General features: G+C 51.4%; 1 protein-coding gene across 1 annotated transcript in view, besides 4 other annotated features; it reads right to left on the reverse strand.

Moving 5' to 3' along the window:
• Positions 1–17,402, reverse strand: part of CFAP74 (cilia and flagella associated protein 74) — an 81,830-nt gene that overhangs the window by 61,358 nt on the left and 3,070 nt on the right. Inside the window, exons 2-6 of the mRNA NM_001304360.2 lie at positions 7,576–7,661; positions 5,575–5,659; positions 5,198–5,341; positions 3,623–3,721; positions 2,072–2,176 (exon numbers count right to left, since the gene is read on the reverse strand). Coding sequence (NP_001291289.1) covers positions 2,072–2,176; positions 3,623–3,721; positions 5,198–5,341; positions 5,575–5,659; positions 7,576–7,642 — 500 coding nt within the window. The 5' untranslated portion in view covers positions 7,643–7,661. The remainder of the gene's footprint in view (positions 1–2,071; positions 2,177–3,622; positions 3,722–5,197; positions 5,342–5,574; positions 5,660–7,575; positions 7,662–17,402) is intronic.
• Positions 2,764–3,455: an enhancer, noted in NCBI's record as "H3K4me1 hESC enhancer chr1:1917517-1918208 (GRCh37/hg19 assembly coordinates)". NCBI's record gives its function as "activates a minimal SCP1, AML or CMV promoter by ChIP-STARR-seq in naive H9 embryonic stem cells {active_cell/tissue: H9 hESC(naive)}" and the evidence as "EXISTENCE:reporter gene assay evidence [ECO:0000049][PMID:30033119]".
• Positions 3,456–4,146: an enhancer, noted in NCBI's record as "H3K4me1 hESC enhancer chr1:1918209-1918899 (GRCh37/hg19 assembly coordinates)". NCBI's record gives its function as "activates a minimal SCP1, AML or CMV promoter by ChIP-STARR-seq in naive H9 embryonic stem cells {active_cell/tissue: H9 hESC(naive)}" and the evidence as "EXISTENCE:reporter gene assay evidence [ECO:0000049][PMID:30033119]".
• Positions 5,042–6,241: an enhancer, noted in NCBI's record as "CDK7 strongly-dependent group 2 enhancer chr1:1919795-1920994 (GRCh37/hg19 assembly coordinates)". NCBI's record gives its function as "activates an origin of replication core promoter dependent on BRD2, BRD4, P300/CBP, MED14 and CDK7 cofactors, with strong dependence on CDK7, by STARR-seq in HCT116 cells {active_cell/tissue: HCT116}" and the evidence as "EXISTENCE:reporter gene assay evidence [ECO:0000049][PMID:35650434]".
• Positions 5,919–6,109: a silencer, noted in NCBI's record as "fragment chr1:1920672-1920862 (GRCh37/hg19 assembly coordinates)". NCBI's record gives its function as "represses an EF-1alpha promoter that drives an FKBP-Casp9 reporter gene in an ReSE screen in K562 erythroleukemia cells {active_cell/tissue: K562}" and the evidence as "EXISTENCE:reporter gene assay evidence [ECO:0000049][PMID:32094911]".

The raw sequence follows: 17,402 nt of genomic DNA on the forward strand, positions 1-17,402 counted from the left end.
GCCCACAAGCTACGCATCAGTTTCCAAGGGAACGGTGTCGCTGCACTGAAGAAGCCAGCGGCCCCACAGTGGGGCTGGCAGCCATCACGTGTCCCATGAGAGGACACCCGAGGGACTGGTCATCACCCCCAGGGGCATCGAGCACGGGCGCTGTGCGGGACAGCCCCTGGCCTGCAATCCTCAGAACCGCAACGTCCGCCTGTCACAGAAGAACCGAGGCTCCTTCTGACTGGGGGAGGCGAGGGGCCACCCTCGACACAACGCCACATGGGCTTCAGGCACGGCTCTGGGATGCGGGGCCGAGGGGCACAGGGGGTCTTGCTGCCATTCTGCAGCTCTTCTGTAAGTTCGGAATTGTTTCAAAATAAAACTTTATTTATTTATTTATTTTTGAGACGGAGTCTCGCTCTGTCGCCCAGGCTGGAGTGCAGTGACGCAATCTTGGCTCACTGCAAGCTCCGCCTCCCGGGCTCACGCCATTCTCCTGCCTCAGCCTTCCGAGTAGCTGGGACTACAGGCGCCTGCCAGCACGCCCGGCTAATTTTTTGTATTTTTAGTAGAGATGGGGGTTTCACCGTGTTAGCCAGGATGGTCTCGATCTCCTGACCTTGTGATCCACCCGCCTCGGCCTCCCAAAGTGCTGGGATGACAGGCGTGAGCCACCGCGCCCAGCCATTTTTTTTTTTTTTAAAAGACAGAGTCTTGCTCACTCTGTCGCCCAGGCTGGAGTGTGGCAGTGGCGCAATCTTGGCTCACTGCAACCTCTACCTCTGGGCTCCAGCGATTCTCCTGCCTCAGCCTCCCGAGTAGCTGGGATTACAGGCATGCACCACCACGCCCAGTTAATTTTTGTATTTTTAGTAGAGACAGGGTTTCGCTATGTTGCCTGGGCTGGTCTTGAACTCCTGACCTCAGGTGATCCACCAGCCTGGGCCTCCCAAAGTGTTGGGATTATAGGCATGAGCCACTGGGCCCAGCCCAAAAACTTTTTTTTTTTTTTTTTTTAAAGAAGTGGACAATCACATCAACCTAGTAAAGTGAGGCCTTCTGGGGTTCATTAGCCCTGTGAAGCCCCTCACCCTGGCGCAGGTGCTGCTGAGCAGTGAGAGGGGCATGACAGAGCCAGTTGTCAAAGGAGTGTCGCAGGGGACAGTGTTCTCCACGCTCAGCCACAGCTGGGTTCAGCGTCCTGTCCTCCCCTGCACCCCTCCCACTGCCCACACAGGTGGGGCCACAGTGCAGGGCACTGGACACCAGCTTGGGTCGTGACTGTATCACAGCGAGCGTGGGTCAGAGACTGGGCCAGAAACTACGTCACAGCAAGTGTGGGTCAGAGACTGGGTCGTGACTACATCACAGTGAGTGCAGGTCAGAGACTGGGTCAAAGCTCAGTGGTGTCTTCAGTGGAGTGAGGCTGAGATGTTAGGTTGCATGAGGGCTGGCGGCATGGGCACTCTTAGGGGTGGGGTGGCCTGAGGCCTGCACTCAGCCCTCTCTGTGCCTCCTGCCCTGCCCAGGCTGGAAAGCTTAGGTCATCCCGGGCACGTGCAGGGTCAGTGCTGTGGATGTCATGGACCTGGCTGCAGCTCCCGGGGCTGGGGGCTGTGTGGTTCGGGAGTCCTACTTGAGGTCAGCTCAGGGTCCCCTCAGTCGCCCTGAGAAATTCGTGCACCTTCCCAAACCCCTTCTTGCCAAACTCGCCGAAGGCAACTCGACGCATCCAACCCAACTCCACAGGAAAGCATTTAGGACGAGGCAGCTGTCTCTCTCCTGGGCTTTGAAAACCCAGCTCGCTGTTCTGTGGAAGCACAAAGCATGAGAAACGAGGAAAGAGGAAAAAGAACCTGATTTTGGAGTTCCTAGGAACATAAACAAACCCAGAGAAACTGAAAAAGGCAACGTGAAGACTAACCCTTCCAACCACTGCATTCACCGAGTCCCCTTTCCACTTCCCCGCAGTTTGCCGGTCAGGTGCAAAACCCCCCAGATCTTGCTCTCTGCCCCCAGATGGGAAGGACTCGCACCGTTCTGGGGCCTGCCTGCTGCCAGTCCCGGCTGCACACCGACTCACTCGCTCTCCTTCAGCACGGCCTCAGTCCTCGACTGCAGGTCTCTCTCGTTCTCCAGCTCTGCAAACAGGCGTCTGGACACGGCCTGGAGGCGGCCCACAGCGGCCCTGCAGTGGTGAACGGACAGGCCGGGCGTGTGTCAGGCCTCAGTCATCCAGGGGCCATCCAGGTTCACCTGGCACTCCCTGGCCTCCTCTCGCTCAGGAGGGAAATCTCGGCACTGGGCCACCTAGCCAATGGAGCGTGGGGCTGGCGGGAGGCTCTCCACATGCCCCTTTCCGCTGGGCAGGCAGTGCCCACATGGCACAGCCCCAGGGGGAGTGAGGGCTTGGGGAGCCTGCCCTGGACCCTCAGTGGCCCCTGCATGAAGCCCCTGGGGGCAGCAGCCATCCAGGCCTGTGACCCGGGAAGGACCCAGCACGTGCGACAAGCCCCAAGCCCTCGCGTCAGGGCGCCCTGGGTCCCCTCCCTCCCTCCTGTTCCCCTCCTGGGCATCATCCACCCCAGCACACATCCAGTGCCAGCCCAGCCACGTTCCTAGAGACCACTTCCCGGGCGGTGGGCGGTTGCCCACGAGAGCGGCACAGTGTGATGCTGGCCAGAGGTCCCGGCCATGTGGACACGGGTGGTGGGCTTTGAGCAGCTGGCCGGGTATGGCAGTCACCCCTAGATCCTGGGTGCCACAGTCCAGGAATGAGGCAGGTCAAAACCCTGCAGAGGGCTGGGTGCGGTGGCTCACGCCTGTAATTCCAGCAATTTGGGAGGCCGAGGCGGGTGGATCACAAGGTCAGGAGTTCAAGACCAGCCTGGCCAAGATGGTGAAACCCTGTCTCTACTAAAAATACAAAAAAAAATTAGCCAGGTGTGGTGGCACATGCCTGTAATCCCAGCTACTCCGGAGGCTGCAGCAGAGAATTGCTTAAACCTGGAGGGGCAGAGGTTGCAGTGGCCCGAAGCCCCTCACCCCCCAGGGCCGGGAGGACCTGCTGGTTCCCTTGCCCCTGGCTGCTGGCCCTCTGCTCCCCATGGCTGCACTAGCCCCTCCAGGTCGGGCACCCTGCTGGGGCCTTCCAGGGCTGGGCTGAACTCGGCAGGCCCTGCAGGCACCTGGTGCCCCCAGAGGGTGAGGCGAGGCCAGAGCTGCAGCCGTGGAGCCATCCAGGCTCCCGGAGCAATGCCTGTTGGTGAGTGTTGGCGTTTCCAGCGTCCCCCAGGCCCCTCCCACCTGGGAGTGTGGGACGCATGCAGGCCTCTCACCTCTCACCTCGCCCTCAGCTGCCTCACCCTGCTGCTCCAGGCAAGAGTGGCCCAAGAGGCCTTCCCCTGACTGCTGACCCACTCGGCCTTGCCTCCCAGAGATCCAGCCCCAGTGCCCTCCAGGCCCCAGCAGTGCCGACCTCACATGCTTCTGCATGTTCGTGTTGTGGCCTCACACTGGGGCTCCTCATTGGCCTGAACACAGCAGGTGCTTCACGCCTCACTTTGGGTGAACCAGTGAACCTCCGGCCCTGACCTCATGCCCGGTTCCCTGCCCCCTGGCGAGGGCCACCTACATGTTGCCCGCCTCTTCCTCTGTGGCGATCTCGGCTGCCACAGCCTCCTGCTGCTTGTCGATCAGGTCCCGCCTCTGCCGACAGGCGCGCAGCTCCCCTCTGGAACAGGGAAACAAAGGTCAGATGATGGTTCCCTGAAACTCCAGCCTCCAAAGTGACAGTGGGCGTGGCAATGGGGCCAGGTGAGGCAGAGCCAGACCCCCAGAGCCCCCCTCACCCGGGCCAGGGGTCTCTCTAACACCTTCAAGCCACACAAGCAGGGTCTTGTCGTCCATTTTTGGAAAACTGCCCAGGGGCAGCTGTGTGGCCCCCACCCGAAGGTGACATGCTCCCCAGGGCCGAGGACGGTGCAGGAGCGGGAGGGAACCTGGGTCTGCATAAACAAGCGCACTCCTGCGTGTGAAGGGCACGTGGTGGGAGGTCTGGGGCCCACGGGAGGGGAGGAGCTGGAGCTCCTCCACCATCTTCCAGAGAGCGGGCCAGGCAGGCCCAGGTCACCAGTGGGGCATGGGCCGGGACAGAATCCAGTTCACATGGTAGCTCCTGGGGGCGACTCAGGCCTCAGGTACAAACAACGGAGCAAAGCCCAGAGCATGAACTCTGGAGGTCGCTTTTTTTTTTCCCGAGACAGAGCCTCGCTTGTCACCCAGGCTGGAGTGCAGTGGCGCGATCTCGGCTCACTGCAACCTCCGCCCCCCAGGTTCAAGCGATTCTGCTGTCTCAGCCTCCCAAGTGGCTGGGACTACAGGCGCCCACCACCACGCACAGCTAATTTTTGTATTTTTAGTAGAGACGGGGTTTCACCATATTGGCCAGGCTGGTCTCAAACTCCTGACCTCGTGATCCACCCACCTTGGCCTCCCAAAGTGCTGGGATTACAGGTGTGAGCCACCGCGCCCGGCCATGACGGTCACTTGGAAAACACACGGGCGCTGCCGGAGCCGAGGAGGGAAATCGTAGTTTCCCCGGGTGAAGTACCCAAGTTAGGTGCCCGAGTTATGGGCAAGAAGTTATGCAGAAGAACATTTGTCTTTCAGTTTTTTATTTTTAGAGACAGGGTCTTGCTCTGTCACCCAGGCTTGCTGCAGCCTTGACCTCCTGGGCTCAAGCCATCCTCTGGCCTCAGCCTCCCAAGTCACTGGGACCACAGGCGTGCGCCACCACTCTCCGCTGAATGTTTTTAGTTTTTAGGAGACGCTGAAATATTTAGGAGTGACGTATCATGTCTGTGATTTGCTTTAACATAATTTAGCACAAAATCCCATAGATATAAAATACAAACACACACAAACACAGAAAGAAGCTACAACGAAAGCTTGACAGGTGGCAACTCTGGGTGGCGCTGGGGGCAGCGGGGCCACTTGTTTCCGCCTTTTCTGTGGGAAGGGGGCTGGGAGCGCTGGGCACTAGCTCCCGGGTGGGGCTTGCAGAACTGCTCCTCCATGGAGACCCTGTGCGACCCTCCCTTGCAGGCCCTCAGGGTGACGACAGGTACAGGACCACCCCTGCTGCACCCATGTCACGGCCTGGGGGGCATCAAGAGGTGCAGGTGCAGCGGCCTCAGCCCCAGCTCACCTCATCTTCTCAGTGAAAAGCTCTTGCTCCTCATGCATCTTATCCAGGGCGCTCAGGTTCTGCCGCAGGTGAAATGCCTGCGTTCTGTCCTCAGCTGTTTTCTTCTTCAATTTATCAGCATCAGTATCTAGTTCTTTCACTGAGCTTAGGATGAAAAGGACGTCAGCTGCCACCACCCCAGCTGCAGGCTCAGAACTCATTCCTCGGTGTGGCTGCCGGGGTAGGTGCCTGACAGTTCTGCTTCAGGGCGGGAGCTGCGGGAGCTACAGCCTGTGGGAGGGAGGAAGCAGCCGCCCCGCTCCCTTCACCCACCCCCCCACCCCCACCCCCACCCCCACCCCCCCACACCCACCTCCACCCCCGATCCTCCGAGTTACCTGCTGTGTCCCGGGTCCACGTCATCCTCAGCTTCCTGTAGAAGACATTTGATGTCAAACTCCGGATCCTCTAATTCATCTCTTTCTAGAAATCAAGGCAAGAGTTTAAAAAAAAAAAAAAGCAGATCAAACATTTGCATCTGAAGTTTTAGGATAAATCTTTTTCTTTTTTTGGGACAGGGTGTAAGGAACCTGCTGCACTGCAGCCACACAAGCACAGGCAGAGGTAAACAGCCTGGGTGACTCAGTGGGACTGGGGCGCTGGCGCCTTGAGAGAGAGAGAGAGAGTCAGGGACATCCGTCTTTGCAGACGGACAGCGGGGAGCAAGGGCACAGCACCGCTTGGCTGGTGTCCAGAGAAAGAGTTAAGCTGCTGACCCTGAAGTCAAGGGAGAGCCGGCCACGCAGCTGTGTGTGTGGGAGCCGCCGGACTAACCAGCCAGGACAGGGCGGACGGTGTGAGACAAAGCCGTTGGGGAGAGCTGCTGCTGAATAAAATCCTTTTTCACCTGCCTACGGCCCCCGAGCGTTCCTTCTGCTCATCCACCCACTCCCTTTGGACCTCAACATGACGTTCGGCGTAGTCATGAACCTGACGTGGAGTCTCTGTTGCCCAGGCTGGAGTGCGGTGGCGTGATCTTGGCTCTCTGCCACCTTCGCCTCCCAGGTTCAAGGGATCCTCCCACCTCAGCCTCCCGAGTAGCTGAGGCTACAGATGTGTCCTACCATGCCCAGCTAATTTTTATATTTTTAGTAGAGAGAGGGTTTCCCTATGATGACCAGGCTGGTCTTGGACTCCTGACCTCAAGTGAGCCACCCGTCTCGGCCTCCCCAAGTGCTGGGATGACAGGCGTGGGCCACCACACCCGGCCCGTGTTAGGATAAATCTTGACACGCACTAACTTGGTGGTACCACACCCGGCCAGTGTTAGGATAAATCTTGACAAGTCTAACTTGATGGTTCTCAAAGCAAAATCCGAGGAACCCTGAGGGTCCCTTAGTGTCCTTCAGGGCCTGTGAGGTGAAAACTGTCTTCATGATCACACTCGCACGCCATTTGTCTCCTCACTCTCTTCCCATGAGAGGACAGTGGCGTTTTCCAGAGGCTGCATGACAGGTGACGTCACAACAGACAGCTCTAAGACTCCAGCTGTCTTCCATTAAACCCAACTCTTAACGTTACTGCCAATAGGTTCGTTATTGCTATTTTAAGTGGCTACGTATTAAAATGTTTCCAGCTTTAATTTTTGATACAGTAAGTATGGAAAGATACAGGCAACATAAACAAATGTTCTCTGTGTCTTCAATAATTTTTAAGAATGTAAAGGGGTTCTCAGACAAAAGAGGCTGAAGGTCACTATCTCAGAAGATTACAGCGGACTTCCGGCAAAACACGGCAAAGGGAACACAGTTTTTCTTCCCTTCATTAAATCTCAGTAAAAATGATGGAAAAGGCAGAAAGCCACAGTCACAAGGGGGGCGGGAGAGGGAGACAGTGGCGGGGGGCAGGGGGGAGAAGGCCACACAGCGCCAGGAGCTGACTCAGCACACAACAGAACCCAAAACGGGGTGGGGAGTGGGGTGGGGGTGGGAAGGAAATGCGTTCCCAGATTGCGATGGCCTGCCTGTGCCCAGAACTAGAACCAAATCAAGGCACGTCTCAGTAACATTTCAGATCATCAGAGATTTTTTAAAAACAGCTTCCAGGAAAAGAAAACAAAAATAGGTCACATTCAAAGGATTGGGATAAAAATGGCATCAGATTTCTCAATACTGATGTTGGAAACTAGAAAACTATGGTCTGCCGCCTTCAACATCTCAGCCACAATTTATCTTTCTTTCAAATAAAGACAATAATATAAGCTCCCTCTTTGAGAGAAAAATATGAGTGTAAAAGATACCCTCTCCCAGAAATAAAGGGAATTAAAGGGCTACTATGAAGCATGTCATTTGTTTGTCTTTTTGCTGAAACTTCCGTTACTGTGAAAGAAGCTTTATTACCATCTTCCAAAAGAAGGGCATCGGCCAAAAGCTCGTCCTCAGGGAGCAGGCTGCCGTCATCCTCCATGCTGGGAGATAGAAATTAGCTGCAAAAGATGATCGCAAAATATAGATCAATAAAATCATAGATTTAAAAGACGGTGAATTAACCATTTCTCTTAAAGAAGGCATTAAGAAAACAAACGACAGATTAGGAAAAAATATTTGCAGCACACACATATCTGACACAAGTCTTACATCTGGAACACATGAAGAGCTCCTATCAACCACATGAAGTCCAAACTCCAGTTTAAAAGGTCAAAGAGGCCGGGCGCGGTGGCTCATGCCTGTAATCCCAGCACTTTGGGAGGCCGAGGCAGGTGGATCACCTGAGGTCAGGAGTTCCAGACCAGCCTGGCCAACGTGGTGAGGCTACAGTGAGCTGTGATGGCACCACTGCACTCCAGCCTGGGCAACAGAGTGAGACCCTGTCACAAAAGAAAAAAGAAACTGCCCAACAGTATCCTCGAGTATCACTTTACACTCCCACCAGCAAATACCAAATTAAAATAATGAAATACAACATTAGCTGGGTGTGGTGGCGCATGCCTATAATCCCAGCTACTCAGGAGGCTGAGGCAGGAGAATTGCTTGAACCCGGGAGGCAGAGGTTGCAGTGAGCCGAGATAGTGCCACTGCACTCCAGCCTGGGGACAAGAGCGAGACTCCATCTCAAGAAAAAAATGTCAAAAGATTTGGAATTCCATAAGAAAAGAGATATACAAATGGCCAATATGCATGTGAAACTGTGTAACATCAGTATCTTTAAGGAAATATGAATCAAGCCATAATGAGATACTATTATATACTGAGTAGAATGCCTGAGATTGGCTGGGCGTGGTGGCTCACACCTGTAATCCCAGCACTTTGGGAGGCCAAGGTGGGCGGATCACGAGGTCAGGAGATCGAGACTATCCTGGCTAGCACAGTGAAACCCCATCTCTACTAAAAAACAGAAAAAATTAGCCGGGCATGGTGGCAGGCGCCTGCGGTCCCAGCTACTCGGGAGGCTGAGGCAGGAGAATGGTGTGAACCCAGGAGGCGGAGCTTGCAGTGAGCCGAGATCGCGCCACTGCACTCCAGCCTGGGTGACAGAGCGAGACTCCGTCTCAAAAAAAAAAAAATGCCTGAGATCAAAACGCTGCCAACAGTGAGCACTGGCAAGGCTATGGAAGGGCTGGCATCGTCACGCGTTGCTGGTGGGAGTGTAAAGGGATACTCTGGAACACTGTTGGGCAATTTCTGTTTTCTTTTGTGACAGGGTCTCACTCTGTTGCCCAGGCTGGAGTGCAGTGACACAATCACAGTTTACTACAGCCTCAAACTTCTGGGCTCAAGCAATCTTCCCGCCTCAGCTTCACAAGTGCTAAGACTACACGCACATGCCGCCATGCCCAGGTAATTTTCAAATTATTGGTTGAGATGGTGGGTCTCTCTTTGTTGCCCAGGCTAGTCTTGAACTCCTGGTCTCAGCCAGGATTCACCCACCTCAACCTCCCAAAGTGCTGGGATTACAAGCTTGAGCCACTACATCTGGCACCAAAAACAATTTTTTTTTTTTTGGAGATGAAGTCTCGCTCAGTCTCCCAGGCTGGAGTGCAGTGGCGGGATCTTGGCTCACTGCAAGCTCTGCCTCCTGGGTTCACGCCCCTCTCCTGTCTCAGCCTCCCGAGTAGCTGGGACTACAGGCGCCCACCACTACGCCCAGCTAATTTTTTTGTATTTTTATTAGAGATGGGGTTTCACTGTGTTAGCCAGGATGGTCTCGATCTCCTGACCTCGTGACCCACCTGTCTCGGCCTCCCAAAGTGCTGGGATTACAGGCGTGAGCCACCACGCCTGGCCCAAAAACAATTCTTAAATAATTTCAAAATTATCATTACACTTTGCTTATCATTTTGGGAATGTTAGGAGCTTGCTCGTGTGGAACTCTTGGTACCGAATCTTCTGTGTCCAGATGTTGGAACTAAATAATTTCACTTAAGAAACAGGCCGGGCACAGTGGCTCGCGCTTATAATCCCAGCACTTTGGGAGGCCAAGGTGGGCAGATCACTTGAGGTCAGGAATTTGAGACCAGCCTGGCCAGCATGGTGAAACCCCATCTCTACTAAAAATACAAAAACTAGCCAGGTATGGTGGCAGGCACCTGTAGTCCCAGCTACTTGGGAGGCTGAGGCCCGAGAATTGCTTGAGCCCAGGAGGCGGAGGTTGCAGTGAGCCGAGATCACGCCACTGCATTCTAGCCTGGGCGACAGGGGAAGACTGTCTCAAAAAAAAAAAAAAAAAAAAGAAACAATGTTAAAATCACAAACTCTTTACTTATTTTTTTCTGGTGAGAATTAAATTTAATGGCTAACTTTCTTTTATTTTTTTGAGACAGGGTTTGACTCTGTCACCCAGGCTGGAGTGCAGTGGTGCGATCACAGCTCACTGCAGCCTCCAACTCCTGGGCTCAATTGATCCTCCTGCTTCAGCCTCCCAAAGGAGCTGGGACTACAGGCACGCACCACCACACCCAACTGATTTTTGTATTTTCTGTAGAGACAGGGTTTTGCCATGTTGCCCAGGCTGGTCTCAAACTTTTGGGATCAAGTGATCCACCTGCCTTGGCCTTCCCAAGTGTTAGAACTAGAGGCGTGAGCCACCGTGCCCGGCCGGTGGCTGTTTTCTATTAGACCTTAAATATGTGATTGGTTTTAACGCCTATTAATCACATTGTGCTTGTACCATGATTAATATACAAAACAGCTGATGTCAAATGCTTATAAATCAGCAGGGCACAGTGGCTCACGCCTGCAATCCCAGCACTTTGGGAGGCCGAGGCAGGTGGATCACGAGGTCAGGAGATCGAGACCATCCTGGCTAACACAATGAAACCCCACCTCTACTAAAAATACAAAAAATTAGCCGGGCGTGGTGGCGGGCGCCTATAGTCCCAGCTACTCGGGAGGCTGAGGCAGGAGAATGGCGTGAACCCGGGAGGCGGAGCTTGCAGTGAGCCGAGATCACACCACTGCACTCCAGCCTGGGCGACAGAGCAAGACTCCGTCTCAAAAAAAATAAAAATAAAATAAAAATAAAAAAATGTAGCCAGGCGTGGTGGTGGGCACCTGTAGTCCCACCTATTCAGGAGGCTGCGGTGGGAGGATCACTTGAGCCCAGGAGGTCGAGGCTGCCGTGAGCTGTGATTGTGCCACTGCAGGCCAGCCTGGGTGACAGAGCAAGACCCTGACTCTAAAAGGGTTAAAAAAAAAAAAAAAAAAAGCTTTAAGTCAATGTACCTAGTATAGAGACAGACATTTAACATTGGGAATTAGCACTACCATTTTGCATTGAAATAATGAGTAATTCCGGGTGAAATGTACATAAATGTTGACATTATGTATGAGATGCTAAAACTGTAAAATTGTAGAGGACTGTGTTTCATTGCTTAACTTAGCAATCGCTTCAGAATAATTCACTAAAAATATTTTCAGTGCCTAGCAATGTTTCTTGGATAAATTATTAATGTATCAATGCCAGTAATTTTTTAAACTTACAAAGAAACAATTGCATTTTAAAGTCCTGGGAGGCAGAATTTTAAGGCATCTTGTAAAATTCCAACAATATTTTTTCCACTTGAAAGAACTGATTAAGCTGCTAGTCTTTGAATGGCAGGATTTTCAGAAACTATTTAGAAAATGGCCAAACCTATTCAGCTCTGTGCTTGTGAATTCCATGCGGCCTCCGCGACGTCATTTTGCTGGACACCCCGTGGATGTCAGTCTTCTAAAAGGTGTCATTGCACACACACAGTTCCTCTGAAGATGATCACACTAAACCATATACACTGAGCATCCGGTTAAAGACGGCACTTCCAACAGGCAGCCACCTCTGATCTCTCCTGAGTCCTCACTAACAACAGGGGGTAGATTTATTGTTTTCAGTACATGAATCTACCAGGGCAAGGGTCATTGGGAGAAACAGGAGCAAAGAGAAGCGGGAGGTGGAGGGATGAGGGTAGCTGTCCCTGCAGACAGAGGCGCTGGCTGACCCTCTGCAGGAGAAGCTGAGAACAAACCCGACGTCGCCACACAGCTGTGAAAGGTTCAGGACTGGGCAGCTTCAGGTGGTCCTCCAGTGGGAGCAGTGGGATTGGGAACTGAGAGACCCAGGAAAGCGTGCTGAAGAAGCAGTGGAAGTTCCACTGTGGTGACATGGCTAGCCAGTGTGCTGGCATCACACTGAAAATCATCAGAAATGCCGGATAGGACTGTACTTTAATTCTCGTAAAAATGTTGAAGAACAAACCAGGTGAGGTGGCTCACACCTGTAATCCCAGCACTTTGGGAAGCCGAGGTGGGCGGATCACTTAAGGTTTGAGACCAGCCTGGCCAACATAGTGAAACCCCGTCTCTACTAAAAATACAAAAATTAGCCGGGCGTGATGGCGCATCCCTGTAATCCCAGCTACTTAGGAGGCTGAGACAGGAGAATCGTTTGAACCCGGGAGGCGGAGGTTGCAGTGAGCTGAGATCATACCACTGCACTCCAGCCTGGGCGACAGAATGAGACTCAGTCTCAAAAAAAAGAAAAAAAAAAACAGTTGAAGAACGGACAAAATAAGAAACTTTCAGGTTAAAACCTAAGTAAAAATATAGATTAAATAAGCAAGCTAAAGGGAAGTATATTATCGAGTTGCATTAAAAACTAAGAACAGGCCGGGCTCGGTGGCTCACGCCTGTAATCCCAGCATTTTGGGAGGCAGAGGTGGGTGGATCACGAGGTCAGGAGATCGAGACCATCCTGGCTAACACGGTGAAACCCCGTCTCTACTAAAAATACAAAATTTAGCCGGGTGTGGTGGCGGGCACCTGTAGTCCCAGCTACTCAGGAGGCTGAGGCAGGAGAATGGCATGAACCCGGGAGGCGGAACTTGCAGTGAGCCGAGATTGCACCACTGCACTCCAGCCTGGGCGACAGAGCGAGACTCCGTCTCAAACAAACAAACAAAATGAAAACAACAACAACAACAAACCCAAGAACAACCAAAAAAAATCAAACTAACTTTTTTTGTTTTTGTTTTTGTTTTTTGAGGCAGAGTCTCACTCTGTCGCCCACGCTGGAGTGCAGAGGTACGATCTCGGCTCACTGCAACCTCTGCCTCCCGGAGTCAAGCAATTCTTGTACCCCAGCCTCCTGGGCAGCTGGGATTACAGGCACAGGCCACCACGCCTGGCTAATTTTTGTATTTTTAATAGAGACGGAGTTTCATCATGTTGGCCAGGCTGGTTTCAAACTCAAGACCTCGGGTAATCCGCCCGCCTCAGCCTTCCGAAGTGCTGGGATTACAGGTGTGAACCACTGTGCCTGCCCAAACTCTCTACAGTTTAAGAGAGAGACGTCTAAAACACAAGCTTAAGAAGCATTGCGTCAGAAAGAAAGGCAGGAAGCATAAACAGGAAGTTAGTGGAGTTGTCTAGAAACAGACAAAAAACTTAGGCAAAAAGCAGGAACGGCAGTGGGGACACATTCTAACCGCATGTTCAATTCACCAGGAAGACTCAGCAGCTTCAATTCTGCACTTCACGTTGATTGATCAGATTATTCACTATGGGAGCTACTTTAAACATACGAAAAAATAGAGAAAAAATCAGATTAAGTGTGTGTAATCTCATGTGGGCTTCTAAGTGGACTGGCAGTAACAGAAAGAAGGTCTCCTGAAATACTGGCCGGGTGCGGGCGCTCATGTCTGTGATCTCAGCACTTTTGGAGGCCGAGGCGGGTGGATCACTTGAGGTCCGGAGTTTGAGACCAGCCTGACCAACATGGTGAAACCCCGTCTCTACTAAAAATACAAAAATTAGCTGGGTGTGGTGGCAGGCACCTGTCATCCCAGCTACTCAGGAGGCTGAGGCAGGAGAATCGCTTAAACTCAGGAGGTGGAGGTTGCAGTGAGCCAAGATCATGCCACTGCACTCCAGCCTGGGTGACAGAGCAAGACTCTGTCTCAAAAAAAAAAAAAAAGAAAAAAAAAAAGAAGAAGAAGAAATGAACATCTGTAATGTGATAGAGTATATATATACCAAAAATTACCACAGCAAACGTCACACTTAAACATTAAAAACATTCCCTTAAGACCGAGAACAAAACAGGGACGCTCTCTAAAACCACTTCTCAGTATTCATCACGTCCCCAGCCAGAACAATCAGATGTAAAAGAAATAAAAGGCGGCCGGGCGCGGTGGCGCACGCCTGTAATCCCAGCACTTTGGGAGGCTAAGGTTGGTGGATCACCTGAGGTCAGGAGTTCGAGACCAGCCTGACCAATGTGGGGAAACCCCGCCTCTACCAAAAATACAAAATTAGCCAGGCGTGGTGGCGCACGCCTGTAATCCCAGCTACTTGGGAGGCTGAGGCAGGAGAAACGTTTGAACCCAGGAGGCGGAGGTTGCAGTGAGCTGAGATTGAGCCACTGCACTCCAGCCTGGGCGACAAGAGCGAAACTCCGTCTCAAAAAAAAAAAAAAGGAAATAAAAGGCATAAGGAATGGAAGGGAAAAATGGTCATTATTTCAGATAAAATGACTCTACATAGAAAATCCAAACAAATATACAGATAAGTTATTTAATTAAAACAACTTAGTAATGTTGCTTGGTACAACTTCAATAATGAAAAGCAAGTATATTTCTATTTATCAGAAGAAATAATGAGAAAATGAGATTTAGAAAAGCTACCGTTTATAATCACATCAAAAACCATGAAGTACTCAAGAAGAAATACAACAAAAGACACACAGACCTCTACAGAGAATGCGAGGAACCCCCTCGGGCAGCATGAAAGGAGACAGACATAAAAATAAATGGAACAAACGACCCATTTCTTCAACAAATAAATGGCCTGGAGGAAAATAAGGAAGGGGAGGTCTTTAAGTGAAAAGAGCCTCAAGAGACAAGTCGGCCACATGCAACCTGGGGATCTTGTTCAAATCTCGATTCAAGCAAACCAGCTGTAAAAGACATTTTTGAGACAATTCCTGAAAGTGAGCACAAACTGGCATTAGTTTCCATTAAGAAATTATCAATGTGGGCCGGGCGTGGTGGCTCATGCCTATAATCCCAGCACTTTGGGAGGCTGAGGCGGGTGGATCACCTGAGGTCAGGAGTTCGAGACCTGCCTGGCCAATATGGTAAAACCTCATCTCTACTAAAAATACAAAAATTAGCCGAGTGTGGTGGCGGGCACCTGTAATCCCAGCTACTTCGGAGGCTGAGGCAGAAGAATCACTTGAATCTGGGAGGCAGAGGTTGCAGTGAGCCAAGATCGTGCCATTGCACTCCAGCCTGGGTGACAGAGCGAGACTTCATCTCAAAAAAAACAAGAAATTATTAATTGTATTGGGGTTGATGATGATTTTGTGGTTATGCTAAAAATGAGTTTCTATCTGTCAGAGGCATCTGCAAAGGTTTTTACAGGTGAAATGATATATCGCCTGGGATTTTCTTTGAAACATGCTAGTCCAGATCTACACGTAGGGAGGGGTAATGGGAGAGGAATGCTGTGAGGCTGATAGTTGCTGAGGCAGGGACGGGCACCTGGGGCTTCGTATTATCATTCTCTTTACTTTTTTGACTTTGCAATTTTCCATAATAAAAGTTTTTTCTAAAAGAAAGTCTAAATAAATAGCCTGGGCGCGGTGGCTCACGCCTGTAATCCCAGCACTTTGGGAGGCCGAGGTGGGCAGATCGTGAGGTCAGGAGATCAAGACCATCCTGGCTAACAGGGTGAAACCTCATCTCTACTAAAAATACAAAAAAAAATTAGCCGGGCGTGGTGGCGGGCACCTGTAGTCCCAGCTACTCGGGAGGCTGAGGTAGGAGAATGGCGTGAAGCCAGGAGGCGGAGCTTGCAGTGAGCTGAGATCTTGCCACTGCACTCTAGCCTAGGCGACAGAGTGAGACTCCGTCTCGAAAAAAGTAATAATAAAATAAAATTAAAATTAAAAAATAAAATAAATAAATAAATAGCTCATGTTCAAGCACTACAAACTCAATGTTGTCAGGAAGTCAGTTCCTTCCAGATTGCTCTATAGATTCCCTAAAACCCCTATCCAAATCCCAACAGAAATGTGTGTGTGTGTCTACATGCAAGAGCAAGAGAATGAGAAACTCGTCTGGTGAATTTTAAAATGTATATGGAAGAACAATGGAACAATAGTTTTGAAGGGGGAAGGGGTGCCCCACCAGATATCAAGATTGATTCTAAAGCTGTAAAACTAAGACAGTAGAGTGCTTTGGACAAGACAAACAGACCAATGGAACAGATCAGAGAGGCCAGAAACAGGCCCCCACGTACTAGCGCTATGCAGGATAGAAGCAGGGTTGCTGAACAGCAGCCACGGAATGGACATCTTTGTCGGCACCCACCCAAAGATCAGTCTCACGTGGATTAAAGACTCGTATGGGAAAAATCAAAATTCAGCTACAGTGTGTGTTAGCGGGGAGTCGATGGGGGGTGGGAATGGAGCCTTGTTACTTCAGAATTTCTCAAATAAAACGCTAAAGACATTAGGCACAAAGGGAAAATTGGGTAGAGTCGCCCACATTTCAATTAAAAATTTTCATTCAGGCCAGGTGCAGTGGCTCACACCTGTAATCCCAGCACTTTGGGAGGCCGAGGCAGGTGGGTCACTTGAGGTCAGGAGTTCGAGACCAGCCTGGCCAACATGGTGAAACCCCGTCTCTACAAAAAATACAAAAATTAGCCAGGCGCGGTGGCGTGCGGCTGTAACCCCAGCTACTCGGGAGGCTGAGGCAAGAGACTCCTTTGAACCTGGGAGGAGGAGGTTGCAGTGAGCCAAGATTGTGCCACTGCACTACAGCTTAGGCGACAGAGCAAGACTCTGTCTCAAACAAATAAACAAAACCAAATCTTTTGTTCAGATGACATCCTAGGGAAAGTTAAAGAAAACCTACAGGCCGGGCGCGGTGGCTCACGCCTGTAATCCCAGCACTTTGGGAGGCTGAGGCGGGCGGATCATGAGGTCAGGAGATCAAGACCATCCTGGCTAACACGGTGAAACCCCGTCTCTACTAAAAATACAAAAAATTAGCCAGGTGTGGTGCAGGCGCCTGGAGTCCCAGCTCCTCAGGAGGTTGAAGCAGGAGAGTTGCTTGAACTGGTGAGGTGGAGGTTGCAGTGAGCTGAGATCGTGCCACTGCACTCCAGCCTGGGCGACAGAGCGAGACTCCATCTCAAAAAAAAGAAAAAAGAAAACCTACAAAGTAGAAGACAATCACAGCACATAACCCAGAATTTTACTGTCAAGACCATGTAAGGAATATCCATGAATGGATAAAGACAGACAGCCCCACAGCAAAATGGGCAAAAGACGTCAACAGGCACTTCACAGTTAAGGACGTGCCACGTCCCCTAACACGCGCATGGGTTCGGAGGACCAGGACATGGGTTTTTTGGGGAAGGGGGAGATCATCCTGCCTATGGCACCCTCTGGCTCTGCGATTCCTCTCCCAGGAGCACACCCTACAGAAAATCCCACCTGTTGTGTTAGCTTCCCGGGGTCGCCATAACAAAGTACCACAACCTAGGTGGCTTCAACAACAGAGTTGTCTCACGGTTCTGGAAGCCATCGTCTAAAACCGAGTTGATGGCAGGGCCATGCTTCCTCTGAAGGCACGAGGGAAGGGCCTGTTTCAGGCCTCTCTTTTAGCTTCTGCTAGTTCTGTGGCTTGTGGCAGCAAAATTCCAATCTTCATAGGACATTCTCTCTGTGTGCATTTGTATGTCCA

Source organism: Homo sapiens, chromosome 1 (assembly GCF_000001405.40).
Source record: "Homo sapiens chromosome 1, GRCh38.p14 Primary Assembly".
Classification (NCBI taxonomy): Eukaryota; Metazoa; Chordata; class Mammalia; order Primates; family Hominidae; genus Homo; species Homo sapiens.